Raw genomic sequence first — 18995 nt, forward strand, 5'->3', positions numbered from 1 at the left:
GGATTTGTTTTGATAGAAAGGAATTTCTACGTAAGATATTCAGGTGAAAGGAATTGAAATGTACTCTGTAGTTAACAAATGGTAAGTTAGGGAGTTAGCATAGGATTGTAATGGGAAAGAAGCCTGAAGAGTAGATTAGGGCTATTTTCTGTTTTAATGTCTACCAAATAGTTGCAATTTGACCTTGTTGGCAGAGGGTAACCCAGAATTTGGGATTGGAGGGGGCGTAGATAGACTAGAGACATACCTTTTTTTCTGTAGTACAAACTTGAATTGTTGTAGTGAACTTTTCGTGGCCGAATTTAGAAGTGGCGACAGGGACACTGATGGCTAAATAGGCAAAGGTGACCTGGATGTAATGACACAGAAGAGATGTGGGTATGGATTTGTGACCCCGTTAGATGGACGTATAGGATGTATATAAATACAGCAGGATAATGTAGTGTTTTCTTCTTTACTGTCAGTGGAAATAAATGAACACCATTAAGCTGATGATGTCAGATACCGTGTGTAGTTTTTAAATACTCAGGCAAACATAGTGTGTACATAGGCATGTATTTCTACACACATGTATACACATGTCCATGACACACATTTTATATCCATGTACAAAACATAGTCCTTTAACCAAATTTATTGCGCTTGAAAGTAGGCCTGTGGTTTATGAGAGTGTGAGAGATATAGAACCTTAATTAGGAAGAGTTTGCTTGAAATAGGATCTTTTTTCCCCTTATGTGTCATGATTTTATTGCCGCACGTAGGCCTATATCCTCCAGTCTCTGCTTAATTTATTTTTAATTTTCTTTTGCTTTTGCAGGCCCAGGCTGCAAGCACAAAGGAAGTTTGCTCAGTCTCAGCCGAATAGTCCCAGCACAACTCCAGTAAAGATAGTGGAGCCATTGCTACCCCCTCCAGCTACTCAGATATCAGACCTCTCTAAAAGGAAGCCTAAGACAGAAGATTTTCTTACCTTTCTCTGCCTTCGAGGTAAGACTTTGCAACCATCGGCGGAGGTCTACGTGGAATCTACATGTAAGCCTGAGGTCTACGTGGAGTAACCTTAGCTTTACTCTCTGCCATGTTCATTTTTCTGTCCCCAACCTGGGTTGAGGGGGAATTGAAAGTGAGAAATCCCACCGAGAGAGTGTGTGCTGGGTGTGGCTTTTGAACCATCAGTTAAGTTTTATTTCCTTTTTAATATGACTCTTAACACCCTACTTCCTGGCTTCTCAATGCACAATTATGCAGTTTCTAACTTTGACTTCTAATTTGATTTCTCTGCACCATACCACCACCTTGACACACACACATTGCTGACTTGTTTTGTAAGGCAGTTTTTTTTTGATGCAGGACTTTGGGGCTGTGAAGGCCCCTTTCTTTGTGCTTCCTAAGGCCTGTCAATAAGCCATGGTGATGAGGGACTTACGGTTCTCTCAGCCCTATATTACGTTAAGGAAAACAGTACTGGTACTTTCAGAGTCTAATTGACAGTGCAAATACTGGTCCATGTTTCAACTCGGACCAGTTAACGGAGGCCAGGTGGATTTGGGATCTGCTGAATAGAGTTATTTGTGAAAGTGTTTGTTGCAGTTTCCTTATTACTAAGTTTTCTAATAGCTGTGAGGAAAGAACACAGAAGATTGAGAGAATAAGGAGTCATTTCTGGAGGAATGATAGAAAATTTAGGAAGTCCTGAATGCAGAGAGTTCCTTGGGTGAGGTTATTTGAGAGAAAATGAGCAGAAGGAGAGGGCCTTTGCTATTGGACATCTGTGGGAAAACCTTGAGGTTCATAGTCACTTTTATTTGATAAATATTTTGATAATTTATTATTACAGACAGATTTTAAGTTAACCTTAAAAAGTTTCCACCCATCATCCCTCACTCAATACATTAGTGTGTCTTTCCTTCAAATAAGTACATTTTCCTATAACTGTCAAAGTTAAGAAGTTCACAGTGATACGTGGCCCCCATGCAGTCCTCAAACCTCTGTTTCACATTTGTTCTGAAGGTGCTTTGTAATGTCCAAGTTTAGAGCAAAAGGACCCAGTTCAGAATTAGGCGATGCCATTAATTGTCTGTAGTCTGCTTAATCTGGAAGAGTTCCTCATTGTTTGTCTTTGACCTCAACACTTGAAAATTACAGGTCAATTATTTTTTAGAATGTCCCTTAATTTGGGTGCCTGGTGTTTCCTCATGATTACATTCTGGTTTGTGTTCTTGGCAGGAATGCCACAAGGGAAGTGATTCCTCCTCCTTGTTGTTGGGTCCTCTGTGGGGATACACAGTTCAGTCCTTCCCTTTCCACACTCGTGTTCATGCTGATCATTCGACTGTGGTGGGCCTGTTAGGAGTAAAGTTGCCCGTCTCAGCCTTTGCAGTGTATAAGTGTTAAGAGAGGATATTCTTTGAAACTAGTACATACTTCTCATCATCTTTATCATAATTGTATGCGTATGGGCTTCCTATTTTATTCAAAGGGTTATAATCTGTTACTCCTATTATGTATTCTGATGTTCAGATTGTCCCAGATCACCGCCTCATCCGTGGATCCTCATCAGGCTGGCTTTTTATTCCATTTGACATGTCCCTGTCATCCTTCCAGCCTTGCTTCTGGCACAACAAAATGTTCCAGGCTCATGGTGTACTTTCCCGCCCTCAGTCCTGGAATTGGCCATGTCTTCAAGGAGCACTGCTTTCTTATAGGGATAAGTGCTGTTGAGGAGCCAAGATCTGGGCACTAGGGATGCTGGGAACTATGGGAATGTCATTTCTCCCAGGTGCTCTTAGTAGACTGAGGTTGCATGTTTATAAGGGTCTATCCGAAGTTCTGTGTATATTAAAATCCGTGAGTTAGCAGCCATACCTCCAATTTCAATTTAACACTAAGGGAGGTTCATGTGCATTCATCCCTGAGGAACTTGGCTCCTGTAATCCTTAATATACTTACTTGCTCTGTCTTTTCAGTGTAATCCACCTCCCATCTCTGCTTCTCTGCTGCCCCCACGATGGGAAACTCAGCCCTGACACCCCATATGGTTGCTCCTCACCCCCTCTCCTTGCCCAATTGCCCTGCCTTACTAATTGGCTTTGGGACTGAATTGTTGGGGGGGAAATTTTGACATTATAGGATAGTTCTTGGTGATTCTTAACACATAAGAAAGGAGAGTTATTAATGTATTTGTTAGAAATTTTGTAGCCCTTGTCGGTTGTTGAGCCTTGAAAACAGGGAGATACGAGGTAGGTGGGGTTCCCACCAGTTTATCTCCATTAGCTTTTTTGTTTGTTTTTGGAGACAGGGTCTTGTCTCATATCAAAATAAGAAGTTGTCCACTTCTGGAGTGCAGTGGCACAGTCATGGCTCTAAGCAGCCTCGACCTCCTGGGCTCAAGCCATCCTTCTGCCTCAACCTCTCCAATAGCTAGACCTACAGGCGCAGGCAACCACACCCAGCAATTTTTTTTTTTTTTTTTGGTAGAGAAGGAGTCTTGCTGTGTTCCCCAGGCTGGTCTTGAAGTCCTGGGCTCATGCAATTCTCATGCCATCTTGGCCTCCCAAAGTGCTGGGATGACAGGCATGAGCCAACATGCCTTAGTTTTTACATAGATTTTGGCTGAAAGATTCTCCTGATCTTGCATGTTGAGTATGAAGATGGAAAGGAAGCTGTGAGAACTAAATATGACAGAATCTTGTGCTGGATTGGCTGTATATAGAGAGAAGAACATGGCCACTAGACTGTGAGGCTGGTAGAGTGTGGTGTGATGATCAGGAATGGAGAACGAGTGGGATGTGTACTCAGAAGGATGTATTTGCCCTAAAGGAATCTTTGAAGGATCAGCAGCAATGTGATTCAGGTATATCTAGCCGCGCTTGGTTGTGCCGTCTATAGTCCATCTCTGTGGAGGCTGACACGGTGGAATCCTTGACACCTGGAGTTTGAGGCTGCAGTGAGACATGATTGTGCCTCAGCACTGCTGCCTTGGCAATTAAGTGGCACTTTGTCTCAAAAAAAAAAAAAAAACAATGGTGATATGGGACTCTTAATTTGTGACTTTGGTCTTGCGTGGCTTAAAATTTTTTTTTTTAAATGACAAATAATAATTGTACATATTTATGGGTCACATGATGATTTTGTGATACATGTAAGTGATCAGATGAGGGTAATCAGCATATCTCATCTCAAACATTTATAATTTCTTAGTGTTGGGAACATTCAACATCCTCCTTCTGGGTGTTGCTAACTGTAGGCATCCTACAGTGGGATATAACACTAGAACTTATTCCTCCTATCTAACCATAATTTGGTATCCTTTTCTAAATATGCATGGCTTTTAAACGTAATTGGAGCCAGGTGTGTTTTTTGAGACAGAGTCTCACTCTGTCGCCCAGGCTGGAGTGCAACAGCGCGATCTTGGCTCACTGCAACCTCTGCATCCTGAGTTCAAGTGATTCTCCTGCCTCAGCCTCCCGAGTAGCTGGGATTACAGGCGCCCACCACTACGCCTGGCTAATTTTTGTATTTTTAGTAGAGACGGGGTTTCACCATGTTAGGCTGATCTCGAACTCCTGACCTCAGGTGATCTGCCTGCCTCGGCCTCCCAAAGTGCTGGGATTACAGGCATGAGTCACCATGCCCGGCGAAGCCAGGTTCTTTAAAGAGTAACTATGACTTAACTAGTTTGGCTACTTTTGGGAAAGGAATTTTGATGTCTAAAATTGCTGTCGGCATTTTGCTTAGTAAATAATGAAATAATAGTTTCTGCCTCCACCAGTCCACCAATCCCGTTTCATTAGGATGTCTGAAGATTGCTCTGTTGATTATGGAATTTAGTTATGCAGGTCTTTACTATGGCGCAATTGTGACTGTTGTGTTTAGTTCTCAAAGGTAGAGAAGGAGAGAAACCCATCAGGGAATGTCTCAGTGATTCTGTGTAGAGAGGAATATGTGTGTTTGTGCTACATGTACTTGTGCGTGCACTATCTTATAACATTATATTTTCTGAGGTTCTGGGAAACCTGGAGAGTCTTTTAGTTGCGGAGGCATGCTTATTTATTGTTCAAATAAATGCCATCTAGAGAAAACATTACCAAGTAAGTACCTGGCTTTGAAGTTTCAGGATTCCAGACAGAAGAGAATCATCTTTTCATAGATAAAATTTACTTCTTTTAGATGTCAAATACAAAAAAGGCTTAAATAATTAAAGCCTAGGAGATGTTTAAAACAAATTTAAAAAAATGCTCTGAACCTTTGGAAATGAATTTCATATATGAGCTAGGCAATAAAAATAGGCTTTGTTATTTGTTTTTCTGTTCGTATACAATATTGTACTGTTTTGCTATTTCTTTTATACTTTTTTTAGATCTGAGGTATTAAAAATGAGTCATCCTAGCTTTAAAATACCATTTTTTTTTCCCGGGAGGATAAGTGTGTTTACCTGATCTGACTCTACAAACCCCAAATGACAGATGATGCTTATTATAGCTTCATGACCCTGAAAATCTGATGGATTTGGTGGCCTTAGATAGCATCTTTTCTATCTAGGATATCTAGATAGCATCAAGATAGGTAGTTTCTTGAGCTAATTAAAACCTGTATTTCAGTGTGTACAAAGGTTACATAGTGATCCCTGTTGTTGTGGTACTTTAATAATTTTATTTCCATTTTAATTTAAGAAAAACAGGATGTTAAGCTTTTTTTTTTTTTTTTTTTTACAATCATAAAAGTAGTTCCTGTTCATCTTGGGAATATTGGCAGAAGAAAGGTAAAGAAGTAGGCAAAAGAATGCATTCAAAATAGCATCTCCACCATCTCCCAGAGACGACCGCTGTTAATTACCTTGTTTGTGACTATTTTACTGAGCATTCTGTGTGCATGTATAATACATATTTTTCCTGAAATGATATTGCATTATACTTTCGTTTTTGCAGTCTGATTTTCCTACTTAACACTGTCACAAAAATGCCTGTCATTTCATTTTAATAGCTTATGTTCCATTTGGTGAATGTCTCATAATTTATCTAATTCCTGATGCACATTTAGAGAGATTTCCACCTTTTTGATATCCACTGCTAATGACGCATATCCTTAGTTAAATCTTCACCTTGTTGAAGCCCTTTCAGGCAAAGTTGACAGTTGGGAATGCGATTAACCTTCTTACACCTGCATCCTAATTCTGTTCTTTTTTCGTGCTGATTCCAAAGCAAACATAGCTTGTCACATCCCCAAGCCTCTAGTGTTCACCATAAAGAGCTCAGTCAGCCCATCACCCTTGGGTGACAGCGAGCACTGTGAGGGGTAAAGAAGGCAGTCTTTAATATGCTCATTATTTATAGGGAAGAAAGTCTGGCTGCAGAAATAATGAAGGAAGCAAATCAAACACCTGGAAGTGATGTTTGTTGCTAAGGATCCAGGTCTTTTTTTTTTTTTTTTTTCCCTTCTCCAGTCCTCAATTATTACCTTTAATATTCTCGGCACTTCTTTGGGATTTGGAAGAGAATAAATCGTGAGGCCAAGGGAAAGACAGCGAGTGGAGTTCTTTAAACCTTGTTTGTTATCTGTTAATGACAGTGAGAAATCTTTGAGATGGGGAGGAAAAACCCTATACTATTAATACTGGGATTAGTATAGATATGTAAACACCCAGCTAGTCATTCTGAGGTTAAAAGCTTTAGAAATCTAAAACAAATTTGTTTTAAGACACTACCAGCTAAGTCTGCAAGGCTCTTTCATTTCCTATTTAATATTGTGACCTAAAATTTCTACAGGAAAGGAGGATGGGATGAATAGTGCAGCCGGCCCGAGGTATTTGCCCGCAGTGTATTTATCTTTAAATAGCTGCTTTGAAGGGGTCCACATGTCTCTTGCCAGAGGCATAATTAGTATCTTTCACTGGCACACGCGGGGAAGAGGGTTTTGCGCTTGCTGCATGCAGTGATTCGTACCATCGCCGTATTCCCTGTCACCACTCTGGTTATTCTTAATGAGTTCTGTCGTCTCCTCTTTGTTCTGACTATGATTATTAACAGATTAAAAAGAGCTTAATGTAGCAGAGCACTGGCAGGTTAAATGATTCTCTTATTTACATTTTCCTCTTTACGGGGCACTGCAAACAAGGGGATTCCCAAAGGGGACTCCTGAAGCATGCAAACCTACATACACAGTTCATTCCTATGACCGTGGGCATCACAGTTCAGCGTCACGGCTCGGCACAGTGAAGAGAGTGTTATTATGGGGAGTTCCTCGTAAATATCCTTACTGTCAGCCGTTGTGAAGCAATGCTGTCTTGTTTTGGAACTGCCTGCCTTTTGTTTCTTCTGTCTTACAGAATCTTTAGTGATCAGCTGTCATTCAGTTGCTAATTAATTCAGCAAACCTTTATTAAACTCTTTTTGTATGCTAGACACCTAGAAAACAGATTAGACACAGGAAAGCAGTATTGGTGGTGGGTGAAATTGAGGATATAACAATAAATGCGTGAAAATGCTGGGATAGAAGTGTGTACCCATTAAAGCAGGAAGGGAGAGGCCCTGGGATGGCTGCAAAGGAATGCTGACATTTGCTGCGGGTCTCCGCGTTACAGTGCATTAGGAATCTTTGCAGAAAGAGGATAGTGCTGGGAAGGGGTTCTGCAGAAGCAACTGCCAAGGCATGGATTGATGTTGGAGGTCCTGGAGTTAAAGCAAGAAAGTTAGGATAAGCCTCAGATTCTGCATGCCCTGGGCTAGTTACTGGAGTATCCCTTGGCGTTCTTCAAGTCAGGGGTGACATCATAATACACCTATGAGGTTAGGAAGATGTTACTGGCAGCTCTGCAGAAAATCGATTGAGGCTGCAGGGAGTTCTTTCTAGGGGCATTGGCAGAAGGCTGGCATGTCTTGGGCAGATGATTTAAATATTTCTCAGCCTGAGCTTCCTCATCTGCGAAATGGATATTCTAGAGTCTATAGCACATAGTTGTTGCAGAGCTAATGGGTATGAAATAGCCCAGAATTGATACCTGAGGCGATCATCCACATATAGGCATCCTTTGATAACTCAGAGGACTGATTTATGGACCTCCTTTTGATACCAAAATTCATGGATACTCAAGTCCATTATGTAACATGGCACATGGTATTTGCATGTATGCACATCCTCCTGTATACTTTAAATCATCTCTTGATTACTTATAATACCTAATACAATGTAAATGCTGTGTAAATTTGTTAGATAATATTGTTTAGAGAATAATTACAAGGAAAAAAAGAGTCTGTATGTGTTCAGTAGAGATGCAACCGTCCCTTTTTTTACCTGAATGTTTTTGATCGACAGTTGGTTGATTCCATGGGTGCAGAAGTGTCTGATACAGAGGTCCAACTGTACATTTATTTACCATTTTTTCCAGTGAATTGAGGCAGAGGTAGTGGAGAGGAAGATTATTAGATTTTGGATTTAGGTGGAACTGTCTAAAAGACCAGCTGAATCGGCCACAGGTAATAGAAGAGACAGCCAACCTGTGGTGTTTTTTCTAAAGAGCGTTGCTGGCCTCATTGGCAAGGAACACATATTTTGATGTGGTCCTAGCCTTGAGTATTGAGGACTAGGATTTCTAAGTAGGGCAAATGCAAAAGCCTGGGGTGATTTAGAGGTCACAGAATGAAAGGGGATTAACCTGCCAGAAAGCAATTAAGTAATCCCCCAATTGCAAGGAACACTATGGTGCTAATAATGAGCTTCCTTGAGCAAAATGGGAATACTTTACATTATGTAAACTCTTTGGGGAGGAAATCACACTGTCTCCAGTGGTACACAACTTTTTTTGAGGGTCTCTGGGAGTTGTTGCATCTTAGTTTTTGAGAGCAGCAGTAGTGAAAGTGTATGTTTGAGAACGGTGTCATCACTGCCTAGGGGCTTTCAGTGGCCTTAACGTTCTGCATATGCTTGGTTTTCTCCTAGAGTCAGTTACCTGTTTCATTTGTTGGGATAGTTTATCAGTTAATAATGAAGAAATCTGAAACCCTGAAATTTTTGAGGTCTGAGGAGGGGAAGGATGGATCACTTTTATTGGCCCTGTGACGTTGATCAGATGTTATTAATAAGACTGTAGGTCATTTTGCTGTGAGGATTCTCCCTGCTACAGGCCAGCTGGCCTCTGACCATGTTGTGCCCTCCCTGAAGATAAGGCAGGCTTCCTTTTTGCTGCCAGTGAGTACTGGCACAGATTCAGTAGTACTTCTCAGAGTCATCTCTGGCCTTCTCCTTACTTTCTAGAGAGTCCTTGAGTCTTTCTGAAATCCACTTAGAGAACATGGAAATAAGACTTTAAGTATGGCAGTGCTGTTTTGTTGGCCAAGCACCTTGCTGACTGAAGGGGTTTCATTTATAGCACTAAAGTCCCTGGTGTCTGTGTCCCGCAGGGAAGTTGAGTATTCAGCTTCTCCATTGGGAACTGAGGAAGGCCTCACATGATTCGCACAAAGACTGTTGTCTGTAGTGGCTGTTAGAATGCTCATTTTGTTGTTGTTGTTGTTGTTGTTGTTGTTTTGTTTTTTGAGACGAAGTCTCCCACCCTGTGTCACCCAGGCTGGAGTGCAGTGGCGTGATCTCGGCTCACTGCAACCTCCGCCTCCCATGTTCAAGGTATTCTCCTGTCTCAGCATCCTGAGTAGTTGGGAATACAGACGTGCCCCACCACACCCAGCTAATTTTTGTATTTTTAGTAGAGACGGGGTTTCACCATGTTGACCAGACTGGTCTTGAACTCCTGACCTCAGGGTATCTGCCCACCTTGGCCTCCCAAAGTGCTGGGATTACAGGCGTGAGCCACTGCACCCAGCCAGAATGTTCACTTTCTTACTGGTTTCTTCTTCTCCACTTGAGATAATACCGTGATGGCTTGAGCACCATCATGGCTGCTGCTATGTGGTATGATTTCTATATTCAGTGAGATGAAGCGAACCATAGATAGACCTTGTGGCATTTGACTGGGTGTGTATTTGAATGTGTTTTAAATTGCCAGTGCAGACAACAATATAGGAAGGGTTGTAAGGGGAACGTTACAGTTTTCAATGACAAAGATGCTAGATTAGCGTGGGAATAGGAGATTGGGAGGGAAGGTGGTATGATAACCATTGTATTCTCCTTGTGAAGTCCCACATGTTAATTGCACTTGCAGATAGAATACTACCCTAATGTCGGGAATTTCCTATTTGTGGGATTAGATAGGCACACCTGGGTGCTTGTTTGCACTAGTTCTTGAGAGCTGTAATCCAGGAGGAGGAGGGAGGGTTGCTGAAGGAAAGACTGGCCATGCATCTAGGAGGTCATTGCGTCATCCCTCCTTGTTCCTTAACAAAGACCAAAGGTTCAGCTTATTCTAACCATTGAGTTCATTTTGCATTTTCATCCCCTGTCTCCCAGATTCTGGTCACCAACCAATCTAGTTACTTTCCTATTTGGGAAAGAAGATATGCTGTCACCTATGGAAAGAATGACAGTATGATTTTATACCTATGAGCATAATAATATCACCTTACTGTGAGTCACTCAGCTTGCTTTTGCCTATGTTTGGAGCCATAAAAATGTTTCGACTGAAGACATTATGCTCTGTATACAGTTGAGTAACCTCGAGTCTCATGGCAAGTAAGCATCTCCCAGAGCCATGGCCTCATCCTGGAGTCTTGGATCCCATGTAGAGTCCCTTCAGTGATGGTATCTTTTTTTTTTTTTGGAAATACCTATTTAAAAAGAAGTACATTCCCAAGATGAGCATGATTGGATAGGCACCTCCGTATTCAGTAAGGAATAGGGATTCCCTTTGTGTTTTGCTCATGCTATTGAGGGCTGCTTCCCTATCTCTGCTACACAAATCCCTCTTCATACCAGAAAGGACATTAAGTGAACGTTTTACATTCATTTTAATTTTAACCATTACCTTTCCTTTAGGGCAATTGATAGTAATTTTGTCTTGATACAATGGAGATAAATTATTTAAGACATGAATGCAAGTCACCTTACAGATAATAATAGCACATGGAGCATCTGGATCTGGCAAATACTTTTAGGATGGTAGGCAAATGAATGCGAATTGGGAAATTCTGTTTTAATTTCTTCCCTAATAAGTTGTAAAGTCAGACCAGGAATGGGCAGAGATTGGCACTGGACATGTTATATTTGTCCCAAAGTCTTTTAGGGAAGTTTGTGTTTACATGTTGTGCATGCATGAACATGTGAGATGAATGTAGACAGCTGCCCTGTTTGAGTCTCTGGTGCTTTGAACAGTGCTGATACATACATACGTAGATTGATGCACTAGGGTATTTGGGTGCAACTGCTTTCTTCTGTGACTTCTTTCATCTTCTATCCGTTGCCCAAGTCCCTGCCAGCTCACTTTGAAGTTTTGTTTCTTAATTTGATAGTCGGGGTTGATTACTTTTCATTCTGTTTATGTATCCCGAAGATGAAACACAAACTCAGTGGGCCAGCCCCATGGTAATTGGGTCAAGCAATAGAATTTGACTCTGCAGCTAAATGACAGTGCACAGGGAATCCCTCTAGGGTCTTTCCAAAATACAGCCAAGCGATGTTTCGCTGCTTAAGATCAAGAACTGATCGAGGGAGGGAAGATAATGGGCAGGAGGGCTTGTCTGTGTACATGATTCATAGAGAAGAATCCAATTTTATAGAAACCACAGCCTAAATTAGAGAAAGCAAGCTTTTGGATTAAAATGATCTCTGTTGTTGTTGTAACATACCACAGTTTGATTTTTGTCCAGATGAAAACATTTGGTTTGCACTTCAGTAAATATTGTGGAGACATTGCCAGCTAATTCTGAAAAGTAATGAAATACGGCTTTGGCAAAGAGCAGATGCATTCCGTACTCTGATTGCTCTTATCTGATCCAAGTTCAGATTTTTTTTACATTTGCTAATGCACTTGAATAATCGGGAGAGAAAATCTGCCTGTAATTTTAATAGGAAACTGTCTATATTGACTATACTTTTATAATGACCACCCATAAAGTCTTCCCCTGCTCCCCCTGAAAAAAATCCCACACAATTCCCAAACCTCTAAAACATACAGCTTTTGTTGGTTACTTTTCTAAAATGAGAGTTTGTAAAGGAGTGATATGATGTGGTGTTCCATGTGAGGAGTCAGCCTCTCTCACTTGCTAAATAATGTGAACAGAGCTTGTGTTTTTGCCATGCAGAGTCCACCCCTGAGAACGCAAGGTCATGTGGGGTTGTGGAGCCCTTTCCTTTTTTTTTTTTTTTTTTTTCCGAGGTGGAGTTGCCCTCTTGTTGCCCAAGCTGGAGGGCAATGGCACAGTTTCAGCTCATTGCAACCTCTGCCTGCTGGGTTCAAGTGATTCTCCTGCTTCAGCCTCCCTAGTAGCTGGGATTACAGGCATCTGTCACCATGCCCAGCTAATTTTTATATTTTTTAGTAGAGATGGAGTTTCGCCACGTGGGCCTGGCTAGTCTCGAACTCCTGACCTCAGGTGATCCTTCTGCCTTGACCTCCCAAAGTGCTGGGATTACAGGTGTGAGCCACCCTGCCCAGCCTGTTCTGTTTTCAAATACGTCTGCTAGATACGAAGTTTCTACCGACTCAGCACAATATAATTACGTAATGCATCCATTCACCCATTTCATACTGAGAAATATGCAATAGTTTTCTCCAGTGATAAACACCCTGGGCTGCTATCTGACTTGAGGGGTTTGAAATATCCTTTCTTTCATCCTGTTTGTATTGAGCAGATTCTTCCTCCTCTGCATTTATTTCTAAATGAGATAATCAAGCTGGTATGTAGGTAAAGAGGAAATAAATGCTCTTTATATAAATGTCTTAATTAATTTTAGTTTCTTAGATGCTTTGTGTCTTATGCATTTGAGGTTGTTATTTAGCTATTTTCTAGATATTAGTCCTTTTCTATCGCTGTGACCATTTTTACTTTGGCATGAAATAAGAGATGATCTTACTGCATTTGTCTCGAGGAGAAAAAAAGAACCTACTTTGGCTTCATTTTTACCAATTCTGTGGCTTCTCTGGGTCTGGAATGCCAGTTTGACCCCTCTGTGATTTTACAAGTGGACATTCCAGCAGAATTCTTAGAGGGATTTACAGCAACCACGTGGTGACAGAGCAATGGCATGTGCAGCGTTAGACTCTGTTGGCTTTATTCTTTTGTACCTACTTCTGTTTGTCTATGACGTTGATGAGATGGACAGGTATGAGGGTGCCCGACCAAATTCTGGAGGTCTGTTCCTTCTAGGGGAGATGCCAGTTGTTCATGAGTGCTCCCCCTGGTGGATGGGTGATGGATTGGCCGTGGCCCTTGGAGGATGATGCCAAGGAGGACAGTCAGGCCATATCCAGGCTTGGGGAGACAGTGTTGTCCTTGTGGGGTACCCCCCAGTGAGAAGAAGGGGTACAAGCTTAACCTCTGAACTAAGGGTACTCTGGTGGTGGTTAACTGACCTCCTCCCCTGGAGTTCATTTTTATTCTGCTTCAATCCCTTTCCTACACTTTCCCTTTTCCCAGTCTTCCTTCCATTCAACATATTACCTCCTGATTCCCCATCTGATTTACGAATCCTTCATTACCCATTTTTCTTTGTTGATTCTTTACCTTTAGATCCAGACCAACATGCCAATTACCTGAATAGAAGCAGAATCATCTTCTAGGTTGAAAACAATCCTTTTTTCCTGTGTCCCCATATGTAGAAGAAATTGTGTTCTTTCTTACCTCTGACTTCAGGGCCAGTTCCATCAGAGGGACTTACTACTATTATAAGGTTTTACTTTGAGAGCAAGTTCCTCAGAATTGCCCTTATTCCTCACTGGTCTTCTATTTCTAATCTTTCTTCCATTTTAGCCCCTCACTTTCTTTCCCAGCACCCAGCAGGTCACATCACATATTCGTATTTGCCGAGGAGCCATTAAAACAAATCCATTCATAATGTTGGTTGTTTTCTGCTTTTGTTAAAAAATTATCGTCTATGGGCCGGGCATGGTGGCTCACTCCTGTAATCCCAGTGCTATGGGAGATCAGGTGGGAAGATCACTTGAGGTCAGGAGTTTGAGACAAGCCTCGGCAATGTAGCGAGATCCCGTTCCTACAAAAAATGAAAAAATTATCTGGGTTTGGTGGTGTGCACCTGTAGTCCCAGCTACAGGAGGCTGAGGTGGGAGGATCACTTGTGGCCAGGAGGTCGAGGCTGTAGTGAGTCATGATCACACCACTGCATTCCAGCCTGGGCGACAGAGTGATTTCTTGTCTCAAACAATATCTTATCCTTTGTAGATATCAACAAAGTCTGGATGCTGAACTGAGCGTCTAGATATTTTCTCCATTTTAGTTCTTTGCAACATAAACTCAATCCTCACCCTAACATAAACTCAATCCTCACCCTTTCTCTCAACATCTTGAGTGCAAGGAATGTGATATTTGCTTCATGCTGCTTCTCTAATGTTTGAGTTTTTAAAAAAATCCTCAACAGATCCTGTTAAGTGGAAGTTAATTCCTTATTTCTAATGTGCTTCACATGGATTTTTACCTGATTCTCTTTGAATCTTAGAATATTTTTATTGGATCTTACTGCTGTATTTTTTTTGTTGCTGTTTGTTTGTTTGTTTGTTTGTTTGTTTTTTTGAGACGGAGTCTTGTTCTGTCGCCCAGCCTGGAGTGCAGTGGCATGATCTCGGCTCACTGCAACCTTCGCCTCCCGGGTTCAAGTGATTCTCCTGTCTCAGCCTCCCGAGTAGCTGGGATTACAGACATGCATCACCATGCCCAGCTAGTTTTTGTATTTTTAGTAGAGACGGGGTTTCACCATATTGGCCAGGCTGGTCTCGAACTCCTGACCTCAGGTGCACCACCCGCCTTGGCTTCCCAAAGTGCTGGGATTACAGGCGTGAGCCACCACGCCCAGCCTTATTGCTGTATTTTTATATTGCTCTCACATGGCCTCATTTGTGGAGTTTATTTCCTTTGCAACAGAGGGGAGAGAGGAAGGCTGGAGGGGTGATGGCCCTCCTCTTGAAATACATGCCTGTAACAGCTTTCCCTCCTGCTTCTCCTGTTTCCTTCTGAAAAATGGTTGAATTGGCTGCAGAAGTTTCTATTAGAAAGATCTACACAAGAACCTGCTGTTTTTATACCAATCCATCGTTTGGATTTCAGCTGCTAGTCATTGCCTCCAAGATACAGTATAGGAAGGTTGTTCTTTAAAAGAAATTAAGCATGGATATTTTTATCTGGGAGGAACTATTTAACCTATCCCATCTCCTTTTAGAAGAGGGAAATTTAATGGCAGAGTCTAAAACTTACAAGTTCTCTCCTAATGGTATGACTGACAGCATGTGTTAGATCGATAGTAAAATAATTTGAATATTTTTTGAGTGCTGTAGTTACTCTTGTTTTTTCATAAATACTTATAAAGGTAGATTTAGGGAAGAGGGATCAACAACATTGTTGTATTTGATTAGATAACCTGTCTGTACCCATGAATGGTGATACTGTACTGAAAACTATGCTAATTAGCCTCCTGTTTTCCTTGTCAGTCTTGTACCAATTGTAAAACCATTTAGATTGAGTATATATTTTGGTCCAGTGGAAATGTGGATAGATATTTTTTTCTCTTTCTCTTTTAACTCCTGACTGTTTATTTTACTCCCTCTTCTATTTGATTTTCCCCAAAGTCTGTGTCAGGTTTAAGAACCTTCTTTCTGTCCAGAATCTACTTCTAAATGGAGACAATCAAGGGGAGGGGAACAAAACATCAAAATGGCTTTTGTAAGACCAAGTTGAAATCTTCTGTCTACAGAGGGTCTTTTTGCCGACTGTATCCCTTTGCAGTTGCATATCCACTCAGTAATGTGGTTCACATAATTTGGGGGGTTTTTGAACATTGATAGGTCATGAAGATGCCTGTAGGAAAAGGAAGGGGTTGAAGGTCCCACATAGTCTTTGCATTTTGGGGAGATGGGTGCTTGGTTTGCCATCTCAGCTCCTGATACTGCTCATTTTCCATTTCCTTGTCACTGAGCATATATAGTTCCGAAGCTGGACAGAAATGGTTTTAACTGTGTGTTTAAACCTTGAGATCTTTGAGATCTCTATTTAGGTAGGAGAGTGAATTGGTGATCTATCTCTTCGGTGATGTTACTGGAGTGTTTTTAGCTCATTCATAGGCAGGCAAGAGAAGACATGAATTTTGTATTTACTAGTTCTTTTACTATTAGACTGAAGGGGATTTTGTTTGTGTTTTAGAAGCCTCTGGTTCCAAACAACGTACAAATGACTTGATTGTATTTCCTGAATTGCCTTTGTTTGATAAAGAGGAACTATATTGTGCTTTTTTTTTTTTTTTTAAGAATATTGAGCCTAAGGGTGGGCATGGGGGCTCATGCCTGCAGTCCCAGCACTTTGGGAGGCCAAGGCAGGAGGATTGCTTGAGTCCAGAAATTTCAGACCAACCTGGGCAACATAGCAAGACTCCATCTCCCCACAAAAAATTAGCTGGGTGTGGTGGTGCGCACCTGTAGCTCCAGCTACAGGATTGCTTGGCCCAGTAAAGGGTGCAGTGAGCTGTGATCGCGCCACTGCACTCAGCTTGGGCAACAGAGTGAGACCCTTTCTAGAAAAATAATGATATTGAGCTTATTTTTTTGTTACTTTAAAATCCGGAATGAGAACCTTTGAGGATGAGAGGTTAAGATGTAAAAGGGTAAAGGTGAGGAGATCGGTTCCCCCGTTGGGAGGTTTATTTCTTTATTTTTTATTTCAAATTCAGCACTTTTACTTAGTGCAGCGTGGGAATTTATTTGGGTGATTTTTGCATCCAGTTAACCTAATCAGGACATCAAAGTAACTTCCAAAACTATTGGAATTTGGGGAATTCATATCCACCATAAGGAATGAATATTCCTTATGAATACAACACAGTGATTTTATATAATGAAATGTTATATTCTGTTTTTACTTCTGTCTTCTCTGTCTTTTTTTTTTTTTTTTTAAGTCTATTAATTTAGAGTAATCTCTCTTCCTCAGCAGTGGGTAGGTGTTTTTATTTTATTATTTTTTTGTTCCATCCTTGGAGGTGTTTGTTTTTTTTCTCAAGAGATATTCAGATGAGATTTTAAAAATCCTTATTTGTTCTATTTTGCATCTTCTTCCTGCTGGGGGATTTTGCTTGAAATACGTTCAAAAGGCACAGATGATCTTGGGAGCATTTGAAAAATAAATTTAAAATGGCAGTAGAGATCAGTTGCTTTGTTTTTTCTCCTCGGTTTTGTTTCATTGTGGTGTTCCTTCTGGAAAGGGTGAGGGTCAAGGCCTGTGTTTATGAGCTGTTTTTCTTATTCCACCAGGTTCTCCTGCGCTGCCCAACAGCATGGTGTATTTTGGAAGCTCTCAGGATGAGGAGGAAGTCGAGGAGGAAGATGATGAGACAGAAGACGTCAAAACAGCCACCAACAATGCTTCATCTTCATGCCAGTCGACCCCCAGGAAAGGAAAAACCCACAAACATGTTCACAACGGGCATGGTAGGTCCACCGTTGAACTTGGATAAGAAAAAATCTAAAGCTTTGGGTGAGAGCTGGAAGAGAGCCTCTGCTGAGAAGAGATGAGATGAAGGCAAAGCTCGTTCTGGGTACTTCTCCAGGGCCAGACACTTCATGGGCAAAGGGATTATTAGTGTAGCTTAGTGTAGTCCAGGGTGTTCTAGGTGAGTGCAGATACTCTGATGATGTGGAGATGATGGTAAATTCTATAAGAGCTGTAGATAAACAGGCATCAGAACAGGAAAAGACCAGATCTACATGGGGATGGTCAAGAAGATTTGGTGAAACAACATCTGTGCCCCCCTTTAATTACTAATGTGATTTTAGCAGGTGGATATGGTATAGGAAGAAAATTATCATTCCTCCTATGGAATTGCACATACATTCTGAAGTGGACTGATTTTCCCCTTGCGTGTATAGTGTGGAGGAGGAGGATAAAAGGCAGGAACAATAGCTTGAGTATCACAGCAAAGAAACTCATCTTATGTGGATAAGTTGGCTATAGAAAGTGCCTAGTGGTCTTTTCTCTCTGTCTCTCTGTCTCTCTGTCTCTGTCTCTCTGTCTCTGTCTCTCTCTCTCTGTCTCTCTCTCTCTCTCTCCTGTCTCTCTCTCTCTCTCTCTCTCCTCCCCTTCTCCCCCTCTCCCCCTCTCCCCCTTTCCCCCTCTCCCCCTCTCCGCTTCTCCGCTTTTCCTTTCTTTCCTTTCTTTCTTTTGTGACGGAGTCTCGCTCTGTCGCCCAGGCTGGAGTGCAGTGGCGCGATCTCGGCTCACTGCCAGCTCTACCTCCCGGGTTCACGCCATTATCCTGCCTCATCCTCCTGAGTAGCTGGGACTACAGGCCCCCACGTATTACAGACATGAGCCACCACGCCCAGCCGCCTAGTGGTTTTTCAATAGAGAAGTGACTTAAATGGAGTTGTGCCCTGAAAACATGAAGCCGGCATCGATGATGAGGACTTCTTAAAGGGAAATAACTTGAAGGGGAAATGCACAGCGAGGTTGTAATTGTAGGCAATTCCCTGACCGAAGGTTGTCCAGTAGACATTGGAAGATGTAGAATAGGTATAAAAAGGAGTGATTTCAGAGGCAGCACAGAGGTAGTCCTGAACCAATTGGAATTGCACTGAGTGGGGGAATGAGAGTAAGAAAAGAGGAAAGAGGCTGGGCGAGGTGGCTCACACCTGTAATCCCAGGACTTTGGGAGGCTGAGGTGGGCAGATCACGAGGTCAAGAGATCAAGACCATCCTGGCCAACATGGTGAAACCCCGTCTCTACTAAAAATACATAAATTAGCCGGGCATGGTGGTGTGCTGCTGTAGTCCCAGCTACTCGAGAGGCTGAGGCAGGAGAATGGCGTGAACCCGGGAGGCGGAGGTTGCAGTGAGCAGAGATCGTGCCACTGCACTCCAGCTTGGGCGACAGAGCGAGACTCTGTCTCAAAAAAA

General features: G+C 41.9%; 1 protein-coding gene across 20 annotated transcripts in view, besides 2 other annotated features; it reads left to right on the forward strand.

Moving 5' to 3' along the window:
- The window catches only part of JARID2 (jumonji and AT-rich interaction domain containing 2), a 275974-nt gene that overhangs the window by 205120 nt on the left and 51859 nt on the right, over nt 1-18995 (forward strand). For 13 of the 20 annotated variants that reach the window (XM_017010833.3, XM_047418735.1, NM_004973.4 and 10 more), the window contains 2 exons: nt 818-987; nt 17354-17530. In XM_017010833.3, coding sequence (XP_016866322.1) covers nt 818-987; nt 17354-17530 — 347 coding nt within the window. Of the gene's footprint in view, nt 1-817; nt 1033-17353; nt 17531-18995 lie in introns of all 20 variants that reach the window. The other 7 variants (XM_011514579.4, XM_047418736.1, XM_047418745.1 and 4 more) reach the window with 2 other exon arrangements.
- Nucleotides 9785-10442: an enhancer, noted in NCBI's record as "NANOG hESC enhancer chr6:15461204-15461861 (GRCh37/hg19 assembly coordinates)". NCBI's record gives its function as "activates a minimal SCP1, AML or CMV promoter by ChIP-STARR-seq in naive H9 embryonic stem cells {active_cell/tissue: H9 hESC(naive)}" and the evidence as "EXISTENCE:reporter gene assay evidence [ECO:0000049][PMID:30033119]".
- Nucleotides 18303-18485: a silencer, noted in NCBI's record as "fragment chr6:15469722-15469904 (GRCh37/hg19 assembly coordinates)". NCBI's record gives its function as "represses an EF-1alpha promoter that drives an FKBP-Casp9 reporter gene in an ReSE screen in K562 erythroleukemia cells {active_cell/tissue: K562}" and the evidence as "EXISTENCE:reporter gene assay evidence [ECO:0000049][PMID:32094911]".

The sequence above is a fragment of the Homo sapiens genome, chromosome 6 (genome assembly GCF_000001405.40).
Source record: "Homo sapiens chromosome 6, GRCh38.p14 Primary Assembly".
Lineage (NCBI taxonomy): Eukaryota > Metazoa > Chordata > Mammalia > Primates > Hominidae > Homo > Homo sapiens.